Source organism: Homo sapiens, chromosome 15 (assembly GCF_000001405.40).
Source record: "Homo sapiens chromosome 15, GRCh38.p14 Primary Assembly".
Classification (NCBI taxonomy): domain Eukaryota; kingdom Metazoa; phylum Chordata; class Mammalia; order Primates; family Hominidae; genus Homo; species Homo sapiens.
Window position 1 is genome coordinate 22919001 of NC_000015.10, and position 26625 is coordinate 22945625.

General features: G+C 47.1%; 1 protein-coding gene across 9 annotated transcripts in view; it reads right to left on the reverse strand.

Moving 5' to 3' along the window:
• CYFIP1 (cytoplasmic FMR1 interacting protein 1) overlaps positions 1-26625 on the reverse strand; it is a 113847-nt gene that overhangs the window by 51949 nt on the left and 35273 nt on the right. For 7 of the 9 annotated variants that reach the window (NM_001324119.2, NM_001324120.2, NM_001324124.3 and 4 more), the window contains 10 exons: positions 25862-25939; positions 25558-25659; positions 24173-24354; positions 20411-20507; positions 20192-20320; positions 18104-18208; positions 14802-14893; positions 13223-13340; positions 8906-9028; positions 6982-7107 (listed from right to left, as the gene is read on the reverse strand). In NM_001324119.2, the coding sequence (NP_001311048.1) occupies positions 6982-7107; positions 8906-9028; positions 13223-13340; positions 14802-14893; positions 18104-18208; positions 20192-20320; positions 20411-20507; positions 24173-24354; positions 25558-25659; positions 25862-25939 (1152 nt within the window). The remainder of the gene's footprint in view (positions 1-6981; positions 7108-8905; positions 9029-13222; positions 13341-14801; positions 14894-18103; positions 18209-20191; positions 20321-20410; positions 20508-24172; positions 24355-25557; positions 25660-25861; positions 25940-26625) is intronic. The other 2 variants (NM_001324125.3, NM_001324126.3) reach the window with 2 other exon arrangements.

The following is a 26625-nucleotide window of genomic DNA, read 5'->3' on the forward strand; positions in this document are numbered from 1 at the left end:
AAAACGTCTTCTCCAAAGCCATAGTCAATGGAACTGTGCCCGCATCTGACTCCCCATCAGACCATGAGCACCTGGAGGACAGGGATGCATCTGACTCGAAACACACATGCATCCACCCCAGCACACCCTCCTGTGATGGAATTCAAATAGGAAAGAAGAAAAAGACTCAGGAAAGCAGGCATGATATTACTAGAAAAAGAAGTTACAAGAGGTTGTAGTCCAAATCCCATATTGTTCACAACAAAGGCGCAGTGAACTACCATTCACAGAAAAAGCCTGGAAGACTCTGATGGAACATAATTACATGACAAAGAGCTTCCAAAGGAATTCCTGGGACAGAAAAATGGTGCCAGGGCTCATTATTTCCCTGTTTCCAGACAGTAATTTTGTCATGACAGTGTGCTTTATTACTTTCTGAATAAACAATTGAAGGTCACAAACCAAGTATGACCTTTACAATTGCATGAGCTTTCTTACGGCTTTTGCCGTTTATAAATATTTCTACAGCCAACTTCATGATAGCTATGTGAGGCCTAGAAATCTCTCTGAAAGCAGCAAGTGAGGCAGAGCAAGACACACTTACCCCAAGTCCACCCTGCCGTGTGGATGTCTGACATATAAGACACCAAAGTGGAACATTTAATAGCACCAGTGAAACATAATTCACTTCTTTTTATCTTTTAACTAGAACGCTGTACCTAAGACTAATACATTTGGGAAAATCTTAACAACCCTTCTTTGGCCAGGCACAGTGGCTCACACCCATAATCCTGGCACTTTGGGAGGCTGAGGCGGGAGAATCACTTGAGACCAGAGTTCAAGATCAGCCCGAACAAAATGGCCAGACCCCATCTCTACAAAAAATTTAAAAATTAGCCAGGTGTGGTGGCATGAGCCTATAGTCCCAGCTACTCGGGAGGCTAAGCCAGGAGGATCACTTGAGCCTAGGAGTTCGAGGCTGCAGTGAGCCATGACTATGCCACTGCTCTCCAGCCTGGGTGACAGAGCGAGACCCTGTCTCAAAACAAAACAAAACAAAAACCCTACTTCAACATCTGAAAATGGTCTTCAGTCCACAGTAATAAAAAAAAACAAAAAACAAACAAACAAAAAAAACCTTTTGAAATTAAGTATTTGACAGATTCAAAATTAAGGCAGCTTTTTTTTTTTTTTTTTTTTTTTGAGACAGGGTCTCACTCTGTTGCCCAGACTGGAGTGCAGTGGCATGATCATAGCTCACTGCAGCCTTGAACTCCCAGGGTCAATCGATCCTCCTGCCTCAGCCTCCTGGGTAACTAGTTCTATAAGCATGCACTACCATGCTTGGCTAGGCATCTTCCTACTTTTATTAAATCTGTTGGTTTGAAGTTCACTTAGCAAGAACACAAATGTGTTTCCCCAAGGCTTCACACAGTCTCCCTCTATCACTTTCTGGTTTTATTCACACCTTTTGAGTTCCTCATTATGGCTTTATAAACAGCCTGATTCATGGGTAAATGAAGACGTGTCTGACAAGTACTTGAAACATGGCTTATATGATTTTGGTGCTTTTCTTTTTCATGAAATTTTCAGGTGGAAAAGTTGACAGTCTGCTTTTAATTCATCCTTCTATAACGTAAAGAATTTCCAAATAGACTGCTTTCATGTAAGACTCATGGTCTATATGCAATTAAAATAATGAAAATTTTAGAAAGGAAAAAGTCTGGAAGAAAACGCACCCAGCTGCTCAGCGCCATCTCTGTGATGGCGCCGCAGGCACTGTGCCTTCCTAATGCCATGCTTGTGTTTTCAGCATGCTTACTTTGGAAAACTGATGATTTTATATTGTTTTTCCAATCAACAAAAAAGAAAAGTTCTATTTAAAAAACCAAACGAGGAAAAACCCATTTAAGTGAACATAACAATCCTACATATTCACACTTACAGGAAGAAGGAAAAGGCAAGTTAACAGCAAACTGAGAGCTTTAGATGCACGCATTAGAAAACTAAAAAGGATAAAAATCATAATACTTATCAAACATTCATCACTAATTTATAGAAAACAGCAAAATAAACCCCCCCAAAATCGAAGAAAAATAACTAAAAGCACCCGGGCGCAGTGGCTCATGCCTGTAATCCCAGTATTTTGGGAGGCCGAGGCAGGCGGATCACAAGGTCAGGAGTTCGAGACCAGCCTGGCCAATATGGTGAAACCCCGTCTCTACTAAAAATACAAAAATTAGCCTGGTGTGGTGGTGCACACCTGTAGTCCCAGCTACTTGGGAGGCTAAGGCAGGAGAACTGCTTGAAACTGGGAGGTGGAGGTTGCAGTGAGCTGAGATGGCGTCACTACACTCCAGCCTAGGTGACACAGCGAGACTCTGTCTCAAAAATAAATAAATAAATAAATAAATAAATAAATAAATGTAACAATGAAACAGAAAACAAGTGTATAATCAAGGGTGATCAACAAAGACAAAGCTGTTCAGTAAATAAACAGTAAAACTGACAAATGCTTAGCAAGAATAACAAAGAAAAAAAAGACAGAGAAGCAGGCCAGGCACAGTAGCTCACGCCTGTAATCCCAGCACTTTGGGAGGTCAAGGAGGGTGGATCACTTGAGGTCAGGAGTTCAAGACCAGCCAGGCCAACATTGGTGAAACCCTGTATCTACTAAAAATACAAAAATTGGCCAGAAGTAGCTTGAACCCGGGAGGTGAAGGTTGCAGTAAGCTGAGATTGTGCCACTGCACTCTAGCCTGGGCAACACGCGAGACTCTGTCTCAAAAAAAAAAAAAAAAAAAAAGAAGCACGAGTTACCAGCATTAAGAATGAAAAAGGGGACATTAGCAGTTTATAGACAGATTAAGAGATTATGAAAAAATACTGTCATAGGATAGACAGAGGTCAATGGGATAGGATTAAGAGTCCAGAAGTTAACTTACAATTGATTTTCAACAGGGTACCAAAACAATTTGATGGGGAAAGATCATCTTTTCAACAAATAGTACTGACAACTGTATCTGCACATGCGAGAGAATCAAGGTGGACCCTTGTGCAGGAAAGGGTTAACTCAGCAGGCTGGGGAGAATGAAACTCCGCACATCCCCAAGAAAGGCCCATCTTCAGGACTGGCTGAAGTCATCCCAGGAACCAGCTCTGAACCTTGGGAGTGTCCTGCCTAGAGATTATGTTTTTGTGTGCCTGGGGCCCCGGGCCTACTGCTGTACCAGTCTGATCAGTCTCTGCTAACAAGGTGACTAATAGTGACCTCCTGTGTGTGTTTTGAGGACCTAGAGTCTGAGTAGCCAAGGTCAGCCACGTGACTGGCCCCCAGTAAAAACCCAGGACCCCAAGGCTCTGGGGAGCTGCCCTGGTGAGCCACAATTTGTGTGTGCTGTCACACATCATCGCTGGGAGAAATAAGCACGTCCCGTGCAATTCCACTAGCAGGCACAGCTGGAAGTTTACACCTGTCTTCTCTGGACTCCACTCCTGTGCCTTTTCCCTTTGCTGATCTGACTCTGTCTTTTGGCTGCAAGGAGTCATAACCTTCAGTGCAACAACTACCAAGCCCTGTGAGTCCTCCCAGCCAGTCAGGGGGATGGAGGGTGGTCTGGAGGGCCCCTCACACAACCTTGTCAAACGCTGTATAAAAATCCACTCAAAATGGATCATATATTTAAATTAGGTTTAAGTTAGGAGCTAAAACTATAAAACTTTTAGAAGAGGCTGGGCGTGGCGGCTCATGCCTGTAATCCTACCACTTTGGGAGGCAAAGGCGGGTAGATCACCTGAGGTGAGGGGTTCAGGACCAGCCTGGCCAACATGGTGAAACCCTGTCTCTACTAAAAATGCAAAAATTAGCTGGGTGTGGTGGCGCACACCTGTAATCCCAGCTACTTGGGAGGCTGAAGCAGGAGAATTGCTTGAACCTGGGAGGCAGAAGTTGCAGTGAGCTGAGATCATGCCACTGCACTCCAGCCTGGGTGACAGAGCAAGACTCTGTCTCAAAAAAGAAAAAAAAAAAAGACTTTTAGAAGGAAACACAGGAGTAAATCATCATGACCTGGGTTACACAATGATTTCTTATATATGACACCAAAAGCATAAGCAACGAAAGAAAAACAGATAAATCAAACATAATCAAAATTCAAACACTTTGTGTCTCAAAAGACTCCATTAAGAAACTAAAAGGACAATCATAGAATGGGAGAAGATACTGAAAATCCTATGGCTGTAAGGAACTGATATTTAGAATGTATAAGGAACTGTTACAACTCAATAATAAAAAAGATAACCTAATTAAAAATGGGCAAAGGATCTGAAGAGACATTTCTCCAAATAATGCACACAAATGGCCAACAAGCACATAAGAAGACGTTTAACATCCTTAGTTGTTAGAAAACCGCAAATCAAAAGCGCAATGAAATGAGATACCACCTCACACCCACTAGGATAGCTAGAATCAAAAAGACATACAATAACAAGTTTGGTGTGGATGTGGGGAAACTGGAGCCCTCACTTACTGCTGGTAAGAAGGAGAAATGGTGCTGCCACTATCTGGTAGTTCCTCAAAAGCTAAATGTGCTGTTATGATCCAGTAATTGCATTTCTAGCTATACAATCAAAAGAAATGAAAACCAGCATCTACACAAAAACCCGCACATGAAAGCTCATAGAGGCTGGGCATGGTGGCTCACCTCTAATCCCAGTGCTTTGGGAAGTCAAAGCAGGAGGATCACTTGAGCTCAGGAGTTCAAGACCAGACTAGGCAACACAGTGAGACCCCATCTCTACAAAAAATTTAAAAATTAGTCAGGCATGGTGGTTTGTGCCTGTGGTCCTAGCTACTTGGGAGGCTGGGGAGGGAGGATTGTCTGAGCCCAGAAGATTGAGGCTGCAATAAGCCATAATCCTGCCACTGCACTCCAGTTGGGTGACAGAGTGAGACCTTGTCTCCAAAAAAAAAAAAAAAAAAAAAAACAAGAAAAAGAAGTTCTCAGCAACTTCATAGTAGTGAAAAGGTAGAAATAACCCAAATGTCTATCATCTGATGGATGGATAAATACAATGTAACATATCCATGTAATGCAATATTATTCAGCAATAAACAGAACAAAACAGTGATACCTGTGTGAATCTTGAAAATTATGCTAAGTGGCCTGGCACGGTAGCTCACGCCTGTAATCCTGGCACTTTGGAAGCCCAAGGCAGGCGGATTACCTGAGGTCAGGAGTTTGAGACCAGCCCGGCCAACATGGTGAAACCTTGTCTCTACTATAAATACAAAAATTAGCCGGGCGTGGTGGTGGGTGCCTGTAATCCCAGCTACTCTGGAGACTGAGGCACAAGAATTGCTTGAACCCGGGAGGGAGAAGTTGCAGTAAGCTGAGATCACGCCACTGCCCTCTAGCCTGGGTGACAGAGCAAGGCTCCATCTTAAGAAAAATAAAAGGAAAATTATGCTAAGTGAAAATTATGCTTTGTGAAAGCCAGTCACAAAGGGCCACATATGGTATGATCTACTCATATGAAATGCCCAGAGCAGGCAAATCTACAGGGTCAGAAAGCAGAGTGGTGGCTGCATACGGTTGAGGGAGGGAAGAATGAAGGGTGGCTGATAATGGGCTGGCATTTATATTTGTTCTAAATTTGATTGTGACTGTACAACTCTGTGAATGTGCTGAAAGCATTGACTTTTACACTTCAAATGGGTGAACTGTATGGTTATGTGAAAAAAAAGCTTCTACCAAAATAAGATGAGAATTTACTATGAAAAACCTTATGTCAAAAAATCAGAAAATTTTGGCTGGGCGCAGTGGCTCACACCTGCAATCCCAGCACTTTCGGAGGCTGAGGCGGGTGGATTGCTTGAGCTCAGGAGTTTGAGACGAACCCGGGCAACTTGGTGACACCCCATCTCTACCAAAAATATAAAAATTAGCCAGGTGTGGTGGCATGCACCTATAGTTTCAGCTAATGGGGAGGCTGAGGTGGGAGGATTGCTTGAGTCCAGGAGGCTGAGGCCAAAACAGTGGTTTTTAACATTTTTATTACTTTTCACTGTTGTAGTGTTATTTTTTCTTTCTGAACATTTTTGACCCAAGGTTGGTTCATGGAGGTGGAACCCAAGAACACTGAGGGCCAACTGTATGAGACTTCTGTCAATTCTCCTGTCATGATCCATAGGATTGTTCATATCCTGATTAAAATCCTCACTGTGGGATGGGAAAAGCTGATTCTAAAATGAATATGAAACTACAGTGGGGAAGAATAGCCAAGGAAGTCTAGGAGACAGAAAGACGTGCTTTCTCATACACGGTAGATGACTACAAAGCTACAGAGTGGTGCTGGGATACCGACAGCAACTGACACTGGGTTAGAGCAGAGCAGAAACACAGCCACACATGCATTGTCACGTGACCAGCTACAAAGGTGGCAGCGTGAGGGTTGGACGGAATTGTTTCAAAAATGAATTTCAGGTGAATTTCGCATCTCAGTGTGAAAGCAGAGTGAAGTATCCAGAAAGCAATGCAGAATACCTTCACGACCTGAGAGTATGCAAAGATTTCTCAAACAGCACAGGAAAAGCACAGCTATGAAAGAAAAGATACCAGTTGATGCTGGAATGAAGAGCTGCCCATGGAAAGGCTCACGAGGGGAGTGCAGCGCCTGCCTCACAGGAGAGCAAGACAGCTCTTCTCTCTCAGCAGGGGCCACATCTCTTTCACCTCCCTTCCCCGCACCCGACACTGCTCTCCATCCAGACGCAGGTCCAGGAGTCCAGATTCGCACCCAGGGAGCTTCAGTGCAGACCCAGGACCGACAACCACTGTTTCTCTAATGCGTTCTACTCTGACTACTCTGCCAGATGGAAAGGGGTGCCCACACAGAAGCAATGAGTAAACAGGCAGTTTTGTTCATGTTTTTGCTTTTGACAGAGAAGATGGTGTGAAGCTAGAGCGACATGAGGAAGAGCGAGCGGCCGAGCATCCTCACCTCCACTAGGGCAAACTTCTCCTCGCTGGTGTAGTTGTAGCGCGTGGCACGCTCGTACTCTTCAGCGCTGTCGGGGCAGTCCTTGTTGGAGTACTTGTCGGTGGGGTGCACAAGCTTCCAGGAATACTGTGGTGGCCGAAAGAGCAGAGGTGTTCCATATTGCATGCAAAACGCCTGGCTTCTGGTCTGACTCACACGATGGTGGCCAAAGCCAGGCCAGCCTTCAAACCTTTGCTGCATTCTGAAAGTCACACATGAGGGCGCACACACCGTCCATCTCCACAGATGGGCAAAAGACCCTGGCCCTGTAACCTCTCGTTTAAAAAATCTACCCGGCAAAATGGCCTGGATAGTGAGTGCTGAGTATCTAAGACTCTGGCATTTCATCATCATTTTAAAAAGGATTCTGGGCCAGGCACAGTGGCTCATGCCTATGACCCCAGCACTTGGGAGGTTGAGGCAGGAGGATCACTTGAGCCCAAGAGTTCAAGATCAGCCTGAGCAATATAGTGAGGCCTCATCTCTACAAAAAATAAAATAATAAGTAAGTAAATAAAGATTTTGCCTTTCAAATGACCATGTACTCTTCCAATTTGATAATTTTTATGTGATCAAAATAAATCACAAAAGGGAAAATCTTTCATTGCTTACAGGTATCCAAATCTTTATATGGCACCAGAAATAATTTACTAATGTTCAACAAAAGACATTGATGGCTGGAGCTCCAAAGAGAAAATGTTATCTTAAAAATGCAGGGCGTGAAGCGACATTAATGGGTACAAATGTACAGTCTGATATTAGAAATAAGACAGTGTTAGATAGATCAGTTAGGGTGACTATTAATTAAAATAATTTATGGTACATTTCAGAATAGATAGGGAAGAACTCGAATTTTTCTGGCATAAGGACAAATATTTATGGCGATGGACATCCCAAGCACACCAATTAGATCTTTGCAAACTGTATGACTGTATTAAATTATCACATGTATCCTGAAACTATGTACCCCTATTATGCATCAATACAAGTAAATATTTAAAGCAAAATAAAATTTAAATGAAAAAATGAGACTTGGCCAGGTACAGTGGCTCACGCCTGTAATCCCAGCACTTTGGAAGGCCCAGGCAGGCAGATGGCTTGAGGCCAGGAGTTTGAGACCAGCCTGGCCCACACGGCGAGACTGTCTGTACAAAAAAAACCAAAAAACAAAAAACTAGGCCAGGTGCGGTGGCTCAAGCCTGTAATCCTAGCACTTTGGGAGACTGAGGCGGGTAGTTCACCTGAGGTCAGGAGTTCAAGACCAGTGTGGCCAACATGGTGAAATACCATCTCTACTAAAAACACAAAAAAATTAGCCAGAAGTGGTGGTGGGCGCCTGTAATCCCAGCTAACTCAGGAGGCTGAGGCAGGAGAATCGCTTGAACCCAGGAGGCAGAGGTTGCAGTGAGCCGAGATCACGCCATTGCACTCCAGCCTGGGCAACAAGAGCGAAACTCCGTCTCAAAAAAAAAAAAAAAAAAAAAAAATTAGCCGGGAGCCGTGGTGCACACCTGTGGTCCCAGCAACTTGGGAGGCTGAGGCAGAAGGATCGCTTGGGGTGGGGAGTCAAGGCTGTAGGGACTTATGTTTGCACCACCGCACTCCAGCCTAAGCGACAGGGTGAGACTATCTCAAAAAAAGAACGACTTAAAGAAAATCACAATGGTACAAATTTAATTCTATCAAGATTTTTTTTAAAAAGGAGGCCCTTCATTTATTACACACATAAATGAGATGTACTTAAAATCACCTTGGAAACATATCTACTGATAGATATTCTCGTCTTTCTAGGGCCAAAGATAAAAAGCCCAAAGACCAAAAGTTAATGTGAATAAAGTGCCCGAGGCAGCTTTGGAGCGGGGCTGGGGTCGGGGACGGGGCCTACCACTTCCATCACGTGCGCGCTCCACTGCGACAACAGCTGCAGGCCCTGCAGCGCCAGGTCGAAGAGCTTGCGGTACTCCGCGTCCGTCTTCTGGGCCTCCTGGCGGCCCGAGCCCGTGACCACCTGCACAAGGCGGGCACGGCCCCGTGAGAAACCAGCGCCCCCACCCAGCTCCCCCCATCCCGGGATCCACCATGAGAATCCACCCCAAAGTCACACGTGTGAAAATAAGAAATGCAGGAGGCCAAGGCGGGCGGATCACAAGGTCGGGAGATCCAGACCATCCTAAAACGGTGAAACCCCGTCTCTACTGAAAAATACAAAAAAATTAGCTGGGCATGGTGGCGGGCACCTGTAGTCCCAGCTACTTCAGAGGCTGAGGCAGGAGAATGGCGTGAGCCCGGGAGGCGGAGCTTGCAGTGAGCCGACACTGCGCCACTGCACTCCAGCCTGGGCGACAGAGCGAGACTCCGTCTCAAAAAATAATAAATAAATAAATAAATAAATAAATAAATAAATAAATAAATAAAAAGAAAATAAGAAATGCTGTGGGTGCTGGACCCTCCTCCCGGGAAAATGGCGGCCAAGGGCGTGCTGCAGAGCACAGAGCAAGGGACAGGCCGCTGCCACAGCCACCGCCTGGGGGACCGCGGGCTGGGCGCGGGGCTGTTACACGCGTGGGCTTGGCGCACTTCCACTAGGCCGGGGAAGGGCAACACACAAGTCACGTGGGTTTGCTTCTATCAAATAACCACCCCCTAAATTTAAACATGTGACCTATGGGGAGGAAGGGGCACCGTGGAGAAGGCAGGCTTCTTTGAATATACCTTTTTATAGATGTGATATTAGAACCACACAAATATTTTATATATTTAGGACACAGAATTAAATGAGATCGGAAATGCAATGCCTAGAAGTCAAAAGCAAAATGAAACAATGGCGGGAACCTGCATGGAGCTCACAGCATGACCACTGAGAGGACCCTGAGCAGCTCTAAACACCACGGTGTGACTTAAAATCCTCTGAGTGAGGGGCCCGGTGCGATGGCTCATGCTGTAATCCCAGCACTTTGGGAGGCCGGGGCAGGTGGATTGCCTGAGGTCAGGAGTTCGAGATCAGCCTGGCCAACATAGTGAAACCCCATCTCTACCAAAAATATAAAAAAGTAGCTGGGCGTGGTGCTGCATGCCTGTAATCTCAGCTACTCGGGAAGCTGAGGCAGGAGAATTGCTAGAACCCAGGAGGCGAAGATTGCAGTGAGCCAAGATCCCGCCATCACACGCCATCCAGCCTGGGCAACAAGAGCGAAACTCCATCTCAAAAAAAAAAAAAAAAGTACCCTGAGTAAGAAGCTCAAGGGCAAAATCACCTGCAAAACAAATCATAAAACAATTTCTAGTCACTGTAATTAGTAGTGCTGGCATTGCTCTTTTAAGACTAGATTATGACCGGGTGCAATGGCTCATGCCTGTAATCCCAAAACTCTGGGAGGCTGAGGTGGGCGAATCACAAGGTCAAGAGATGGAGATCATCCTGGCCAACATGGTGAAACCCCGTCTCTACTAAAAATACAAAAATTAGCTAAGCATGGTGGCGTGCGCCTGTAGTCCCAGCTACTTGGGAGGCTGAGGCAGGAGAATTGCTTGAATCCGGGAGGTGGAAGTTGCAATGAGCCAAGATCACACCATTGCACTCCAGCCTGGGCAACAGAGAGAGACTCTGTCTCAAAAAAAAAAAAAAAAAAAAAAGGCCAGGCACGGTGGCTCACGCCTGTAATCCCAGCACTTTGGGAGGCCGAGACGGGCGGATCACGAGGTCAGGAGATCAAGACCATCCTGGCTAACACAGTGAAACCCCATCTCTACTAAAAATACAAAAAAATTAGCCGGGCGTGGTGGCGGGCGCCTGTAGTCCCAGCTACTCAGAAGGCTGAGGCAGGAGAATGGCGTGAACCTGGGAGGCGGAGCTTGCAGTGAGCCGAGATCGCGCCACTGCACTCCAGCCTGGGCAACAGAGCAAGACTCCACCTCAAAAACAAACAAAAAAAAGACTAGATTATGACATAATGACATAAATCAAATTATGCTGGCGTCATTCACCAGGATGTTCAGCTTTCAGAAAAAAGAAAATCAACAAACCTAAAGTCGAATCACTTTAAAATTGTACTCAGAGGCCGGGTGCGGTGGCTCATGCCTGTAATCCCAGCACTTTGGGAGGCCGAGACGGGTGGATCACCAGGTCAGGAGATTGAGACCATCCTGGCTAGAACAGTGTCTCTACTAAAAAAACACACAAAAAACACACACAAAAAAAAACACAAAAAAACACACACACAAAAATTAGCCGGGCGTAGTGGTGGGTGCCTGTAGTCCCAGCTACTCGGGAGGCTGAGGAAGGAGAATGGTGTGAACCTTGGCTTGCAGTGAGCCGAGATTGCACCACTGCACTCCAGCCTGGGCGACACAGCAAGACTCCGTCTCACCCAAAAAAAAAAAAAAAAAAAAAAACTGTACTCCGAAAAAAACTGATTTGTTACCTTAGACAATGCCAGAGAAACAATTACAGTCAGATGCCACCTAAGGATGCTCCAGTCAACAAGACCACACACATGATGGTGCTCCCATAAAATCTTAACGTAGTGGAAAAATTCCTACTGCCTAGTGATGTCCTGATGATCCTGACCCCGTGTAGGCCTAGGCTAATGTGTGTGTTTGGGTCTTCATTTTTAACGAAAAAGCTCAAAAGGAAAAAAACAAAAACTTTTTGGTAGAAAAATAATTTACAGAATAAGGAGATAAAGAAAAAATATTTTTGCACAGGTATAGAGTGTGTTTGTGTTTTAAGCAAAGTGTTGTTACAAAAGCCAAAAAGCTCTTTTTAAAAGTAAAAAGTTTATAAAGTAAAAAAGTTACAGTAAGCTAAGGCTAATTCGTTATTAAAGAAAGAAAAAGCCTTTTAAAAAATTTAGCACAGCCTAAGCACACAGTGTTCATAAAGGCCACAGCAGTGCACAGTACTGTCCTAGGCCTCCCACTCGCTCGCCACTCACTCACTGACTCACCCAGGACAGCCTCCTTGTCTGACATGCCCAAACGCTTGCCAGGGGTCTGTGTTAGAAGCAGCAGGTGCCCCAACATACCTGGACTACTGGGTTGTCAGTCAGTTTGGTTACATGATGATGACTGGTAACCATGGGGGGTGGGGGACAGGGTGCTCATCGTCCTGCAGTGGGTGGGGCCAACATCCACAGAGTTGTCCCCGCTAAGGTTAATGGTCCTCCTGAGACCCTTGAGGGACTAACCAGTTCAGCAAAGCAGCCTGCGTATATGCCCTAAAACCCGCAGTCCCTGCCAGCAATTTGCAGCACAGACATGCCAGCAGTGCTGGCTCGGAGTCAACCTGGGTGAGTGAGGAGAATGGGAGTGGCCAAAATGACAACATGGCAAACCCAGCTGCAAAGCTGGAAGGAACTAAAGAGAAAGCACCTGTTCTCTGCACCCAACTCCAGGCCCACCTCCTGGACACATGGACCCAATGCCCCTGGGACGTCTTCTGACAGCCACCCAGAGGCTCCTGCTCACCTCTGGCCTCAGGACTTCTTCCCTTCTAGGCTTACAGGGGCCCCAGGTCAGAATCACCCTTTCCTTTCCCAGTGTCCTCCCTTCTCTCCAACCATCTTTCGAGTTGCTTGGAATCACAGTACTAGACTAGGAAATGCCACTTAATCAATTAATTATCTCATCTCTGTCCTTTCTCTTGGGATCCCTATAATGTTTTTCTGAAAAAAAAAAAAAAAAAAAAAAAAGCTTTTTGTACAGCTGAACAGAGAGAACACTAGTTTCACTGCCTTGTCAATTATAATGGGTGCTTTTGAAGTACAGTCATGCACCACATTTGGTCAATGACAGCATATACAACGGTGGTCCCATAAGATTATAATACCATCTTTTCACTGTACCTTTTCTATGTTTAGATATGTTTAGATACACAAATACATACCATTGTGTTACAACTATCCAGAGTCTTCAGCACAGCAACGTGCTCCATAGGTGTGTGGCCTAGGAGCCATCCGCTGTACCCTGCAGCCTAGCTGTGCCACAGGCTGTACCATCCAGGCTAGCATGAGGACACGATGACGTTCCCACAATGATGAAACTGCCTAATGACACATTTGTCAGAACCTGTCCCTGTCATTATGTGACATATGATCGTATCTGGTAGTAAACTGTTTTTCAAAGCAATTAAACCTAAGATTTGGGTGCAAACACACACAGGCGACCCTCGGGTGCCTGTGCAGCTCCAGGTCGCGGGGCGCACCTCGCTGTTGCTGTAGCGCGCCAGCTCCGAAATGAAGCGCATGTGGTCCTCGCGGATCTGGATCATCTGCTCGCAGATGTTGTACTGAGGGCTGCTGCCGGAGGATGTGCACGTCCATCTGTGCAGAGAGAAAGCACCCGCGTTACCTGCGGAGGCGCCGGCAGGCCACAGCACTGGGGCAGCTCAGGACGCCTGTTTGGCACCAGAGCCACACAAATGGCTTTTATGTTTTTAAAGGGTTGTTTAAAAAAACAACACAGAAGCATATCCGAAGGAGACCACCTGTGGCCTGTAAAGCCTAAAATACTTGTTATGTGTCCTTTACTGAAAAGGTTTCTTGACCCCTGAGACTGAGATGCAACTTCGTTTGTCAAAATCATGGCTGAATGGTGACTGCAGGTTGGCTACGGGCACAGTGCTTGGCAAAAGTCAATGAAAGCCTCCCCTGAGGCTCAGATGGCTCTGTAGAGTCTGCAGTGGGGAGGAGTGCCTGCCAGCATCTGGAACTGTGCTGAGGATCTTTATAGTTCTTCACAGAGTAAGATGGTACACAGTTTAGGATTTAGGGCCACATTGTCTGCAGATGTCACATCTGACACACTGTCAGTCTCTTCTTTTTTTCTTTGAGGTAGGGTCTTGCTCTCTTGCCCAGGCTGGACTGCAGTGGTGCAATCTTGGTTCACTGCAACCTCCACCTCCTAGACTACTCAAGTGATCCTCCCACCTCAGCCTCCTGAGTAGCTGGGACTACAGGCGTGTGCCACCATGCCCGGCTAATTTTTGTATTTTTTCATACAGTCAAGGTCTCACTGTGTTGCCCAGGCTGGTCTCAAACTCCTGAGTTCAAGAGATCCATCCACCTCGGCCTCCCAAAGTGCTGGGATTACAGGCATGAGCCACCGCGCCCCACCCTCTTCTTTTTTTTTAAGACAACCTTTTTAAACATAAAGACTATCACCCAGCACTGTCCAATAGGAATCCCTAGGATGATGAAAGTGTTCTGTATCTGTGCTGTCCAACACAGTAGCCACTAACTATTGAACATTTCAAACGTGGCTGTCGTAAGGAAATTAAAATTTCAATTGTATTTTTCTTTCTTTTTTTTTTTTTGAGACGGAGTCTTGCTCTGTCGCCCAGGTTGGAGTGCAGTGGCGCGATCTCTGCTCACTGCAAGCTCCGCCTCCCAGGTTCATGCCATTCTCCTACCTCAGCCTCCCAAGTAGCTGGGACTACAGGCGCCCACCACCACGCCCGGCTAATTTTTTCTATTTTTAGTAGAGACGGGGTTTCACCGTGTTAGCTAGGATGGTCTCGATCTCCTGACCTCGTGATCCGCCCGCCTCGGCCTCCCAAAGTGCTGGGATTACAGGCGTGAGCCACCGCGCCCGGCCTCAATTGTATTTTTCAATAAACTTAAATGTAAATAGCCGCATGTGGCAAAGGCTGCAATACTGGACATTTAATTCCAGGCTGAGAATGTTAACAGTGTTATCTCTAGACAAATAAGCAGGATGTTTGAAAACCGCACAATGAGGACACTGCCGAAAGCTCAAACCAGGCAGCTTTCCTCTCCTCCTACCGAGATTTATTTTCCTCGTAGTGGGCGCTGGTCTTGATATATCTTGCCAGTTCTATTTGCATGTCCCCAAATAGCGGAACCACCTGGAGTTGCTGTATTCAAAGAACAAAAAAATAGAGTCATTATGTATATTTAGTCACCAAATACATAAGCACAAGGAAACTGACTAATGCTAATAATTACTTCGGCTTGAATGCTACCTCTGCAAATGATTCATTACAAAAAAAAAACTATAAGTAACTTCTACATTCGCTTTGAGAGGAACAAAATACAATTTAAAAACCAACATCTATAAAAACTATTCAAATGTTAAAATTAACCTACCATGTTGCTAGATCCACAGTCATAAAAAAAAAAAAATCACTGCATTTCTTTCTTTTTTTTTTTTTTTTTTTTTTTTTTTGAGACAGAGTCTCGCTCTGTCGCCCAGGCTGGAGTGCAGTGGCGTGATCTCGGCTCACTGCAAGCTCCACCTCCCAGGTTCACATCATTCTCCTGCCTCAGGCTCCCGAGTAGCTGGGACTACAGGCGCCCGCCACCACACCCAGCTAATTTTTTGTATTTTTAGTAGAGATGGGATTCACTGTGTTAGCCAGGATGGTCTCAATCTCCTGACCTCGTGATCTACCCACCTCAGCCTCCCAAAGTGCTGGGATTACAGGCGTGAACCACCGCACCCAGCCCTTTTTTTTTTTTTTTTTTTTTTTTTTTTGAGACAGTCTCACTCTGTTACTAGGCTGCGCTGCAGTGCAGTGGCGTGATCTTGGGTCACTGCAACCTCTACCTCCAGGGTTCAAGAGATTCTCCTGCCTCAGCCTCCCGAGGAGCTGGGACTACAGGCAACTGCCACCATGCCCAGCTAATTTTTTTGTATTTTTAGTAGAGACGGGTTTTCACCGTGTTAGCCAGGATGGTCTCGATCTCCTGACCTCGTGATCCACCCGCCTCGGCCTCCCAAAGTGCTGGGATTACAGGCATAAGCCACCGTGCCCAGCCAACTGCATTTCTATATACTAGCAACAATCAGAATACAAAAACTTAAAGAGAAATACTTTGCAACAGCATCCAAAAAAAAATGCATCAGTAAATCTAACAAAAAATGTGCAAGACCTCTAAACAAAAGTACTACCCCGAAAATTCTAGAAAAAGTTCTCAGTAAATGGAGAAATGATCATGTTTGTGCCTAGGAAGGCTTCAAATTTTTTAAATGTCCATTCTCTCAAAATAGATCTATAATCAATCCCAGTCAATATTCCAGAAGAAAAAAAATGGTTTTGGGGGGATAGTGTGTATAAATCAGGAAATCAATTCTAACGTGCATCTCCAAAGGTGAAGGGATGATATCTGAGACTATCCTGAAGGACAAAACTGGAAGACACACCCTTCCAGATTAGGAGTCTTGTTAGAAAGCTCCAACAATTAAGGCAGTGTGGCCCTGGAGCAGGGATGGAGGCTTGTGGACAGGACAGAGAACCTGGACAGAGCCACAGACAGATTCATGACCTTAGCAGCACTGCAGAACAATGGGCTTTGCAATAAATGGGCAGGCCCAACTGGGAAGCCATACTGGGAAAGATCCAAGGACACGAAACCCCTACCTCCTACCACGCGCAGAAGTCAGTTCCAGGGGGATTAGATCTAGGTGAAAAAGGAGACAGAATGCTTCTAGAAGCTAACACAGCAGAAACGTCTCATGAGCTGGATGGCTGCAAAGATTTATTTAGGTGGACATTAATGAAAAGATTCATATATGAGACTACATGAAAATGACAAACTTCTGTTCAGCAAATGACACCATCGAGAACGCGAAAAGGCTACTGGAGGCAGGAGGAGGAAGGGAATATACTGGTCAAAGCGTATAAAGTTTCAATTCCGCAGCATAGTTAAGTTCTGAAGACCTCATCTATGGCACAGTAGCTATGGTTAATAACAATGCATTGAATGCTTAAAATATGCTAAAAGAGTAGATCTTAAGTGTTCTCATCACAAAATAAAAAAAATGGTGTGTTAGGTAATGGACATGTTAAATTAGCTTGAATTCATCATTTCACAATGTGTATGTGTATCAAAACATCACATCATATACCATAAACATACAATTTTTACTTGTCAATTACACCTTGATAAAGCTGGGAAAAAGTGAAAGGGTAGGCCTCTTAGGGGAGAATACATGTATATTAAAATGTAAGGCCAGGTGCAGTGGCTCAGGCCTGTAATCTTGGCACTTTGAGAGGCCAGGGCTGGAGGACTGCTTGAGGCCAGGAGTTCGAGACCAGCCTGGGCAACATAGGGAGATCTCGTTGCTACTAAAAGTTTAAAAACTAGCCAAGCATGATGGTAAGCACCTGTAGTCCCAGCTACTTGAGAGGCTGGGGTGGGAGAAATCACCAAGGCCTGCTACACTCCAGCCTGGATGACAGAGCGAGGGCCTGTCTCAAAAACAAAACAAAACAAACAAACAAAAAAACTCACTTGTGTCCAACAAAGGACATGTATCCAGAATATATAAAGAACTGTAAATCAATAGGGAAAAAAGAGCAAAACACTTGAAGTGGCACATCACGAAGGGAACACGCTAATAACATGGAAAGCCATTAGGGAAACATGAACGAAACACTAGCCAATACAATGAAACACTAGCCAATACAATCTCAATGCTGTACGCATCCTCAGGATATCCCCCCACCCCAAAAAGGCAGTGCTAAGTACTGATGTGGCACCAGCGGCGCATTCTCTCACTGCTGATGGGAACGGAGATCAGGACAGCTGTGCTGGAGCGTCATCAGGCTGCAGGTAACTACTGACACTGAAAACAGATCAGGCCTGTGACCCCCGGTCCCTCTCCTGGGTATGCACCCAACAGAGGACAGTCGACCAGAGCTGCACTGTTTGGACGCGCCAAAACTTGGGAACATCCGAGAGCCCGCCAACATTGGAACGGATAAGTTACGGTGTAGTCATCAGATAGAAAACTACACCACAACCGAAAGCTACAAGCTGTAGCTACGGGCTTCCTCCAGGATGCACCTCACAAACAAGAGGCTGGTGACAGCAGCTGGACGCAGAAGAGTACAAATAGCACAATTCCATCTGTATAAAGCTCCACCCAGGCAAAACCAGCACAGGGCAAAAGGAAAGAGAAAGCGCGGTCACCTCTGCAGACGGGAGAACGTGCATGCCCCAGACTCCACCCAGCCCCAGCGTTTCCTGATATAGATCACAGTCACACAGGGGCTCACTTCCCCAAAATTCAAAGTGCACACAAATCAATAAAAACATTGATCTAAAAACATGTAACTCACCTTGAAGTACTTGTCGATTTTGGATAAGTTTATTCTTTTCTTGGCATCCAACTTATAGATGTTACTGACACTCCCATCCATCAGGTACAGACCAAATCCCATGACCTGAAAAGCCACAAAATGAATGATGCGACAAAGCTCAGAACTGAGAATTTCACTACCCATAAGGACTTACACTGTTACAGCTGATGACTTTGAAGGCACAATTTGAAATAGATCACAAAGATCTATCTTTAGGCTGCTTGTCTGGTGCTTGAAATGCATCATTTTATCCTCAGTGAAACTGGGATACAAAGCGGGGCTGGGCTTCCAGGTCAGTCGCTAAAAGCGGAAAAAACAAATCCTCTCCCCTAGCCTAACCCAAGCGGTAGGGATATTCTAGAGCTACTAAGCTGGTGCAAAAGTAATTGCGTTTTTTTTGCCATTAAAAGTAATGTCCAATATGCAGCCACATGTAACCAGTTAAGTTTCGGTGTATGCAAACTAAAAATTCTTTTTTTGTTTTTTTTTTTTGAGATGGAGTCTGGCTCTGTCACCCGGGCTGGAGTGCAGTGGTGCCATCTCAGCTCACTGCAACCTCTGCCTCCCAGGTTCAAGCGATTCTCCTGCCTCAGCCTCCCAAGTAGCTGGGATTACAGGCGCCCATGACCACCACGCCTGGCTAATTTTTTTTGTATTTTTAGTAGAGATGGGGTTTCACCATGTTGGTCAGGCTGGTGTAAAACTCCTGACCTCAAGTGATCCACCCACCTCAACTCCCAAAGTGCTGGGATTACAGGCATGAGCCACCGTGCCCAGTCACAAACTAAAAATTCTTAACGTGGACTAGCCACCTGCATGCTCCAGTGCTCCGCAGGGGCTCATGGCCAGGGCTCCCACACCAGCCGGTGCAGACACAACGTTTCTGCTGTCACAAAGCACTCCGTGGACAGTGCTCCCCTGCTCAGGAGGAGTCTGGGGGCTGGGCTGGTGGGACACCCAGCAAAGGGTCCCCCAAGGCCACCCTGCAGAGGTGGAGAAGAGAGCAAAGGGAACAGCCGAACTGCCGCCCATCTTTCCCATGAGAAACACAGATGGAAAGCTTCCTAATTTGAACAGAATAATAAAGAATATGGTGAACCAACAAAAGGCTACTTTAATTATGTGACACAAGGTATCAAAGTCCTAGGAATCACATGCTTGACAAGTAGAATCTTGGATAACTTCTGTCACAAAGCTGGCGGGGCATGGTGGCTTATGCCTGTAATCCTAGCACTTTGCGGGGGACAAGGCAAGAAGATTGCTTGAGCCCAGGAGTTCAAGGTCAGCCAGGGCAACAAAGTGAGATCTCATATCTACAAAAATTCAAAAACTTAGCTGGGCATTGGTGCAAGTGCCTGTGGTCCCAGTTACTCAGGAGCCTGAGGCAGAAAGATCACTTGAGCCAAGGAGGTCAAGGCTATAGTGAGCTGTGTCCGCACCATTGCACTGGAGCCTGGGTGAAAGAGCAAAGCCCTGTCTCAAAAATAAAAAAAAAATAAAAAGGGCAGTGGCTCAAGCTTGTATTCACAGAGCTTTGGGAGGCTGAGGCAGGAGGGTCCCTTGAGCCCAGGAGTTTGAGAACAGCCTGTACAACATGGCAAGATTCTCTCTCTACAAAAAATTTAAAAATTAGCGAGGCATGGTGGCGTGCACCTGTAGTCCCAGCTACTTAGGAGGCTGAGGTGGGAGGATCACTTGAGCCCAGGAGGTTGAGGCTATATTGGGCTGTGATTGTGCCACTGCACTCCAGCCTGGGCAAGAGCAACACCCTGCCTTGAGAATAAAACGAAAAGCAGCTTAAAAAAAAAAAAAAAAAAAAAAAAAGCTGAGAATCCTTGACCCGGACCTCCTGGCCAGCACCTTCTCCCAGGGTCAGTGTGTGACACACTCATGGGGTGTGTTGAGAGCCTGTTGTGCAGGCTGTGTGCAAGGGCAGGACGCTGTTCACACATGACAGCATGCAAATAAGACACAGCTGTCAAAAGGATTCTAGATAAAGCACAGCCTATTGACAAGAGTAAGGCTGTCCCTCGGCAGTGCCACGGGCTAGCGTCCCCACACACGTACTTTGAGAAGCATGTGTTTCTCACTGGGCGTCAAATACATCCTGTTCTCGTAGTAATCCACACACAGATTCACAATATCTGCCAGGAGCTCTTCGTAGCCAGAAATCACTTCGAGCTGCTGCTGCAGAGACTGAAACACAGAGCAAGAGACTCATGCATGGGCCCGGCGCCCGGCCGGCTGCTTGGCCCATCAACCTGAGTGTGCAAACACCAGCCTTACCTGTGTGATCTTGTTATGATTGGCCAGGAACATGGACAGATTCTGCGATTCCTGGATGGACTGTGGATCTGCCATTTTACGTAAAAACTGAGCGGCCCTTTGAAAACAAAAAGAATTCATCCCAAAATGCACCAACGTGCCACATTTAAAAAAAAAAAAAAAAAAAAAAAAGCCTGGTTCGAGTGGGATCCCTTTCCCCTACAGTCATCTGCAGAAATGTGGGTCAATCTCAGAAGCCACCTATGATTTCAGCCTTTTCAGGCGTCTCTGGCCCTGCACTCCAGGTCAGTCTTCTGCCAACTTAGACGTGTCTTGCACAGGCTGGGACAGCTCTCCACCCGGCTGGTCACAGCTGACGGCTCCCTGCAGGGTCCCTGCACACTGGTCTCTGCCCTATACTGGTGGACGCCCACCTCATCTAGGGGGCACAGGGCTCCTGGACCCCGAGTCTGAGAAGGGCCACTGCCATCTCCGTGACTCCCACAAGCCCTGCCATGAAGCCGGCCAGCACTGCTGAGGTTCTCTGCTGGGAACCCTCTGGACCACACCTCCCCAGGCCACCTCAGGGACCACTGGTGTCCAAGGTCCTGAGACAGAGCCCTGGCCTGCCACCAATTTGTAGCTACACCCGTACGTGAGGCCCAACAATACAATACTGCAAGGCCATGCTAAGCCTGCGAGGTCTGGCAGGGCAGGGTGAAGGTGGGGGTGTGAGGATTCTGATCATCTAGGACTGTCCCGCAAGAAAGTTCAGTGGAAACGGCCCACATAAGGATAGGTCTGTGCAACCCAGAACCTTGGGGGTTTAGTTTTAAGAGTTACCAAGGCAAAGGCTGATAACCTACACCAACATTCACTTCCTCCCCTTCCTCCTTAGGAACGAGCCCTGCATTTCTGTGGAACACACATTCCAGGGAGCCCCACACATTCCGTGTGCCTCGCCCACCCTGCAGCTAGCTGTGGCCAAGTGACCAAGGACTAGGCCATGAGATATAATGCAAGATACTGACAAGCACTCAAAGTTTACTCATGAGGAAGCATGGAGCCCATCTTTCCCCACTTTCTGCCTGCTGACTGGAATGGAGAAATGACAGCTGGAGCTTAAGCAACCATTTAGGACCAGGAGGCAACACCTGAAGCGGAGCCGCAGGACCACAGGAGCCCTGGGTCCCGTAGAGCCTCGATCAGCTGCAGACCACCCAATTCAGGACTTTTCAGGAGACAGAGAAATAAACTGCAATCTTTTTAAAGCCACTGTTATTTATCTGGGCTTTAAATAATTGCATACAGTTAAACGTAATATTAACTGATACAGTAACATTCCTTGCCTTTTTAAACATGTTTCCAGGGCGGGGCATGGTGGCTCATGCCAGTAATCCCAGCATTTTGGGAGAAGGAGGCAGGCAAATCACTTGAGTCAGGCGTTCAACACCAGCCTGGCCAACATGGTGAAACCCCATCTCTACTAAAAATATAAAAATTAGCCCGGTGTGGTGGCTCACACCTGTAATCCCAACTACTCGGGAGGCTGAGACAGGAGAATTGCTTGAATCCAGGAGACGCAGAGGTTGCAGTGAGCCAAGATCGTGCCACCGCACTCCAGCCTGGGCCAGTGAGACTCTGTCTCAAAAAGAAAAAACCATGTTTCCTTTTTTTTTAAATAGACACAGGGTCTCACTCTGTCACCCAGGCTGGAATACAGTGGTACAATCACAGCTCACTGCAGCCTCTACCTCCTGGGCTCAAGTGATTCTCCAACCTCAGCGTCCCAAGTAGCTGGGACCACAGGTGCATGCCACCACACCCAGCTAGTTTTTTTTGCTCTTGTTTTTTTAGAGATGGGGTCTTGCTATGTTACCCAGACTGGTCTCAAATTCCTGGGCTCAAGTGATCCTTCTGCCTCAGCCTCTCAAGGTGCTGGGATTACAGGTGTGAGCCATCGCACCTGGCCATGTTTGCTTTATTGATTTGAGTAGCTGCTGAGGTGGCGGGTGGGGAGACTAAGGAAAGGGTCAAGGATACTGTTTTCTATTTTCCTCAAGCCTCACCATAACCATATGAGTTATCTTGGCATTGACACTTAAAAGAGGTTATACTAGTAGCCACGAGCAGGTGCCAAAAGAGCTAGATGCGTGTGTGTGTGGTGGGGGTCTTGGGAGGGGTGGGGGTGATGGTCTGGGAAGGTTAACCAACAGGGGTCCCAGATAGAGGTCAGAGGAAGAGGCAGCAGTAAGAGCTACGGAACTGCCCCAGGCCCACTCTTTGGTGCTCAGGGGAACCTGGAGGTGGTGAAGACGCTAGAGGGGAAACCCTCCTTCCCCCAGCTTTGCACACAGCAGCCCCATCTGTAAACTGTTTTACAGACTAGGCTTTAGAATAAAGGTGCTAGTGCTAAAAGGAAAAAAAAAACAACAACACACACACACAACTTTTAAATACTTTTAAATATTGAAAACCACCTCCCCCATTTCCCTGACAAAGCCAAAACGGCGGCTGAGAAGGCTGCTTAAAATCACACAGCTACTGGATTGGGCGGCTGGGACCAGGAGCCCACTCCGACCAGTGAGTCTCGATGCTAGATTCCCACAGATGCTGTTATCAAACAGGGACCCTTCAGACTTCTGCCCCAAGAGGGGCTCACAGGTCAACTCCAGAGACCTTTCTCTAGTTCTGAAGATCTAGACTTCTGTGCAGAGCTGATGATTTTAGGTGATAAATGGAACACTGCATTATTTCACATGAATGAGGCTTAAAATTCTGCCTGACCTAGCTTGACTCCTACTGCTGCCTCATTTTGTCCCAAGTGGGTTTTTAAAATAAAGACATAGCAACAGTTGTATGATTTAAAATGCAACATAACTAGAGCATATTCAGATGCAAAGTAAGGTCTCTTCGAATTTAATTTTAGAGCTAAGATGCCTTACTTAGCAGAGGAAATTGAAATTAGCATCTCATTCCAGCAAAACATGTCTTCAAAAGCACTGAGCACAGATGAAGCAGAGCAAGAGCATCAGGAGACAGCGTGCCAAGTGTCACCAAACGCCGGTCGGCAGCGTGCCAAGTGTCACCGAACGCCGGTCGGCAGCGCGCCGAGTGTCACCAAATGCCCATCGGCCACCCACTGCCCCACACTGCTCCAGAAGCACACACTGGGCCATGCCTGCCTCTTCCGCTCGTCTTGCCAGCCTCTCCAGAGGCTAGCTTCTCCAGAAGCTCTCTACATCCAGAAAGAAAACCACCAGGGAGAGGATCTGGAAGCGCAGTGTGACCACGAGACACCCTGTGACTGTGCACGGGCCACGTCTGCACATTGCTGGGATGGTGCTCATGTGCTGGGGACCCCCGCTGGCGAGTGACCGGCACCGAGGACTGCAGCCCCAACGCCCAAGGTAGGCTGCAGAGGCCACCTGCCCCCTTGCCAAGATGCTCCCTGAGCCAGATGCCTGTGCTCTGTGAGCTAGGCCTACATCTTGTGCATGTCTGTCTTCCCAGGGGCTCGAAGGTCCTCTGTGACATCTGAGGACAGCCAGGGCACGAAGAGCCTGCTCTAGCTGTGCAAAGCCACGATATGCACTTATCTGCTGGCTCCCCTCACCTTATCCCTCGAAGCAGGTGCTCACACAGCCCTGACACTGAGACGTAGCTGCTGCCTACCAGAAGTGACGACTTCAGCAAACAAAGACGCACACCTGCTGTGCACAAGGCAGGCCACTGAGCTGGGTGCTCTCGGGAGGGCCCGCAGTGCGCGAGGTGGGTGCTCACCTCTTGTACGCTGAGTGGTCGTTCTTCACACTGCACTTCATGTTCTTCAGCTCGTCCAGCACAGCGAACATGTTGATGAATTTGCCCAGTGTGATCAGGTAGGCTTCTGACACGAAGTCCTTCCTCCTCTCGGCATGGCACAGGCGCCTCACTTCCCCGCAGAAACGCTCAATGGCATTTCTCTGTGCAGAGGAAGCAGGAGGGCAGAAAGCTGCAGGTCAGTGAGGAGCCAAGCCCATGTCCCTCCTTCAAGCACCTGCAGTCACTGCTCCTCGATGAGAAACGATCTGCCCAGTGAGGCTCCAGGCCGAAGTGTTTACAATGTGGGCAACCAGACCCCTTCCTGAAAGCAGCTCCCACTGCCTGCTCTGCACCATCATTACTTGACTTGCACTTTACCAACTACATCACTAAAGTAACAAAATCTTGCTGATTATTCCAGCAAAATTACTGAGCAAAATGCTCCAATAAAACGCCTGTAAAATTCAGATGTTCTAACTTTCAGAAGTGAAAACTGGGAGAGATTTTTTTCCTCTTGGTAACTTTCAAGGTAAAACAAAAATTCATCTCCCAGTTAGTTCCATCTCCTCCCTTTGCTGAAGGACATCATCATAAAAAATCTGGATGTTTCCAAAATACTTCTTTAAAAAGCAGCAAGCCCCTTCCATGTGGCTACTTCTTGCCTAACCAAGGCCAGGGCGAGGACCACCAGGAATGGACAGTCAGGGTGAGGCTAACAGCAAGAAAATACCTGAAAGAGCAGACGAAAACAAAAGTACAAATTGGCCAGGCGTGGTGGCTCACACCTGTAATCTCAGCATTTTGGGAGGCCAAGATGGGCAGATCATCTGAGGTCAGGAGTTCAAAACCAGCTTGGCCAACATGGTGAAACCCTGTCTCCACTAAAAATACAAAAATTAGCTGGGCGTGGTGGCGGGCACCTGTAATCCCAGCTACTCAGGAAGCTGAGGCAGGAGAATCGCTTGAACCTGGGAGGCAGAGGTTGCAGTGAGCCGAGATCATGCCATTGCACTCTAGCCAGGGCGACAAAGCAAGACTCTGTCTCAAAAAAAAAAAAAAAAAAAAAAAGTACAAACTGGCAAAAAGTCAAAGCATTGTACTTGAAACTGACAGAAAGCAGGCTCCATGAAGGAAACATAAAATCACTCTCAGAGAAGAGAAGTGAACCACAAAAGGAGCGTTGATTCCGAAAGGGCATGAGGAACTTTAGACTGTCAAAGGCTTGGTCCCTTTTGTCTCAGAAACTGGTTGCTTTAATTTGCAGGCACTCTGTTCAGGGTGTTCACAGTGACAGTGATGGGTAGGAAGGGGTCAGCAACCCACCCCTCGGTGTTACACCCCCCCCAGATTATTTGCCATTTTACCTGGAAGTACATGAAATTCATCAGTTTTGTGACCTCAGGCTCCAGAACCTCCACGGTTTTCTCGTAGATTTCCACTCTGTTAGGCTGCTCGTTACATTTCACCTGGGAATAAAGGAACAAGGATGACATAAGAGGCTTTGATCCAGCCAGAAGCAGCCGCTGGGCTTCTAGAGCTAGTGATCCCGCCCTGCTGTGGGGTGAGAACTGGGAGGAGAGTGGGCCAGGCATGGCAGGGGCAGGGGTGTGGTGTGGCAGGGGCCTGGCAGGGTGTGGCTGGAGGGGAAGAGCCAGGCGAGCGTGGCACCTGTGGGATGGCCCGGGAGCAGCTCCTCCAGGTGTACAGCATGACAGCATATTCTTGGCCCTCCTCCAGCATCTCGTTCTGCAATGGAACACAGGGCAAATCAAAGGCAGGCGGGGGAACTAGCATGAAAAGCAGATGCCAGTTGCTAAAATCCAGACAAAGCGCCACAAACTATCCTAAGCACTGTGGCCTGTGTGCCAAGAGACGGCTGCCAGAAGCTAGTGACACTGAGGTGCGGCGCTGGGGGCCACAATGACCACCCAAAACACCCCATGGCTTCTGCAGGCGAGAGGGGTGTCAGTGACACGCAGGCATCTCTGAGGGGTGCCACAGGCGTTACACCTTGGCTCCACCCAGCCCTCAACAACCTGCTGGCCATGAGACCTGCAGTTAGGAACACAGAGGAAGGGCTCAGGGCAGACGCCCTGCCCGGTGTGAGCACACACAGGATCCCCATGGCCTCCTCACTGGCTCACAGGGCCTCCCGGTCCCAGAGAGGACTAGAGGCAGGGCTGCCAGCCCCGGGTGTGCAGGAGGAAAAGTTAGGAGCACGCCCACAGCACTTAAAATCTAGGTAGAGAGTCCATGGGAAGAGGACTGTCATCACTGCTGTAAAACTGCTTTTGCTTTCCACTCTTTAACATCGTTTCCTTTGGAAAAAATCAAATAGATGCTCTTAAATCTAGCCTTTATTTAGTGAGACGTTCATCACAGTATTTTTTTTTTTTTTTGAGACGAGTCTTGCTCTGTCCCCCAGGCTGGAG